This window comes from Homo sapiens, chromosome 2 (genome assembly GCF_000001405.40).
Source record: "Homo sapiens chromosome 2, GRCh38.p14 Primary Assembly".
Classification (NCBI taxonomy): Eukaryota; Metazoa; Chordata; class Mammalia; order Primates; family Hominidae; genus Homo; species Homo sapiens.
In genome coordinates this window covers 149,888,493-149,891,955 of record NC_000002.12, presented here as the reverse complement: position 1 = coordinate 149,891,955, position 3,463 = coordinate 149,888,493, and positions in this window count along the sequence as shown.

Here is a 3,463-nt window from a genome sequence, read left to right as displayed (position 1 = left end):
TACTTTATAAACACACAAAAATCTTTAGTCACTCCTTCATTGGTGGACATTTGAATTGTCTTCAGCTTGGGGATACTACACAAATAATCTTGCTCTGATATTCTTGTACAGGTCGTCAGAGGACACGTGCAAGCATTTCTGTAGAAGATATACCTAAATGGAAAAGTGCGGGTTCGTGGATAAGCACATTCAACATTGTGAGTAGACAATGACAAATGATCTTCTCAAGTAAGTGTACAAATTACACTCTCTCCAGCCGTTCATGGGCGTTCCCATGCTCCATCTCTTCACCAATGCCTGGCAAGGTGAGTTTGTTTCATTTTTTTCATCATTCTGGTGGTCATGTAGTTATAATTCCTGGAGATTTAAATTTGTGTTTCCTTGATGATTAAAGAAGTTGGGGGATTTTTTTCATATATTTGTTGACCTTTTGAATAAGCTTCTAACAATAGTCAAGTTTCTCGCCCATTTTTCTATTGGGTTATCTACCTTCTTACTGATTTGAAGGAATTCTGAAGAACAGTCCTTTTTTAGATTACATATGCTACAAATATTCTCTCCCCCTCTTTGACTTACTTTTTCACCTTCTTAGTGGTATCTTTTGATAAAGACAGGTTCTTAATTTTAATATATTGACAAAATGTCAGTCCTTCCCTTGATGATTATTATATTTGCATTTTTTTATCCCAACAACAGACACATATTATCCTAAGTAACTTTTTAAAGTCTGCATTGTTTTTACCTTTCTCAGTTAGAGTTTAAATAGAACTAATGTTTGAAACATTAGTTTCAAACTAGTGTTACGAAACAATGGTTAAATTTTATTTTTTCATTTGAATACCCAAATGATATTATTGAAAATACTTTCTTTCTTCATTGCTCTGCTGAACTATTTTGTCATAAACCAAGTATTCACGCACGCTTGGGTTAGTTTTCATCCTCTCTATTCTGTTCCTTTGGGTCTTTGTCTATTCTCACACTAATAGTATATTTGTTTAATTATTATATCTTTATCTGCTTATCTATTTTTAAGTCCTGATTTTTTATTCTCTTCTTCAATATTATCTTTGCTGTTCTCGGTTCTTTGTTTTCCATATACATTTTAGAATCCATTTACTCATTTTCATTAAATAATTCTGCTTAGATTTGTAGGGGGTTCATTAATTTCATAGATAGATTTGGGAGAGAATTCTCAAAATTTGACATAACTCTTCATTGATTGAGGTCATCTTTAATTACCTGTAATAATGTCTAAAATATTTATATAAAGACCATGAAACTGTTAGAGTTAATGCAATTATATCTAAGCTATTTTATACGGATTTAACCCTGGCTGTTTAGATCATTTAATTTAGATTTAATCCTAACAAATTATGCAATTATTATAGTATTTTGAAAGTTTTATTTTTGTTTTTGGTGTGTATAAATACAATTGCTTTTTATAGATTAACTTGCATTTGGCACTACATTAACATTATGTATTAATTATACTAATTTATCTATATATTTCTTTGGACTTTCTGCATGGACAATCATGCAGAAAATAATATGTAAACTATTAACCGTAAAATAATATCTACTACCTAATTTAATGGAAACTAAAGTTGCTTATGCCCGAAACCTTGGAGACATTCTTGACTCCTTTCTTTTACTTATATCCCACATTCACGTTATTTTAAAAACCCTACCGGTTCTACCTTGAAAATAGGTCCAGAATTACCCCACTTTTCATCACTTTCACTGAGGCACCATCATCTCTTACTGGAATTGTTACAACAGCCCTCTAACCGGTCTTTCCCCTTCCATGTGTGACTTGTCTTCAACCAACAAATGACAGAGCCTCCACAGTGATCTGCTAAAAAAAAAAAAAAAAAAAAAAATCTCACTTGCAAAAAGTGAGATTGTGTTACTCTTCTGCCCAAAATTTGCCATTCTTTCCATCTCACTCAGTAAAAGCCAAAGTTGTTACAGCAGTCCAGCAGACCCGACTTGATCTGTGTCTTTATTACTTCTCCTACCTCAGCTTCTCTCTCCTCTGCTTATTGCCCAGCCTTCCTGACTTGGCTTCTATTTTTTAGACAAGCAAGAAACCCTCCTGCCACAGGACATTTGCACTTGTTATTTTCCCTGCTGGGAATATTTTCTCATTTTCTCCAAATATTTTCTCAGAGAGGCTTTCCCTGACCCGTTTAAGGTGTAAGCTGTCCTTGGATCATCAGATCTTTCTATCCTCCTATTTTTGCTTAATATTTTTCACAGCAATATAACTCACTAGCATATTTTATAGTTTATTGGTTGTCTCTCTCCACTAGAATGAAATATCCGTAGACTGTGATTTTTGTCTCTTTTTTTCTCTGCTGTATCTTCAGTGTCTTATGTAGTGCTGTGAACATATCTGGTACTCTCTAAATATTTATGTAATGAATTAATAAGACATGTACTTTTAAAAATGCAAGAGAATTCAAGTATTAGTTCCAGCTGGATTTATCAGGGAAGGCTTCTGAAAGTAGGTGGGATTTGAACTTAGTAATTAATTGAAAAATATTTATTAAGTATTAAATGTATACCAGAGACTATGACAGTCAATGACAATCATGGGGAAAAAAAAAGTCTAGTTTCTAATTTGTAACAAACAAGCTTGCCTTCCTCTCCAACACATGTAGTCACTAAGCCTCTTCCTTTATGTTAAAGAGATTTAGAAGAACAATTTTAGAAAGTCATATGGCTTTCTTCATTTACCAATGGAAGCTTAATGCCATTAACATTGAACTTATTTTGTATTTTTCCTGTATCTTTCTTCACTCTTCAAATTAGACTGTTAAAGAATACACTTTTTAAAACTTTACTGTTGAGTTTTTAAAAGAACTCTAAATATTATGCATTAAGTCAACTGCAAAACATGGCTTCTTAGACTTTTGGCTAAGATCAAGTGAATTCAACTGCAAACAAATAAATTACAGAACAGCAATAAACATCAGATTTCAATGGACTTGTGTGGGACTAGTCTTCTAATTATGGAAAGAAAGGTAAATAATCCTACCTAACATTTGCTATTCTGTACACAAACTTACTCATGGGGCAAAGAGGTTAGGAGTTATAACGATATAATTTTTTTCCTTATTCTTTCTATTTCAATAGAAAAGATGTATAGCATAACAGAATTTGCAATTTAAAAGTCACAATAATATTTAATGGTTGTTCAAACAATGTGGATATTAAGAGTTGATCAGATTAGAGATTCATCTCATGATGTTGGAGAAAGATTTTATAGACCTTAGCAAAACTTGAGTTATCTACTCTTTGTATTATCAACTAACCATTCTTAGATCAATATTTTGACTTTTTCAGTCTTGATAATATCTAAAAAAAAATACGTTAGCATTTTTGCTTCTTTTGAGGTTGTAACTTGTTGAATTCGTTGTACTTTATAATTTACAAAGAAACTTTTCATGCATTAGCTCCG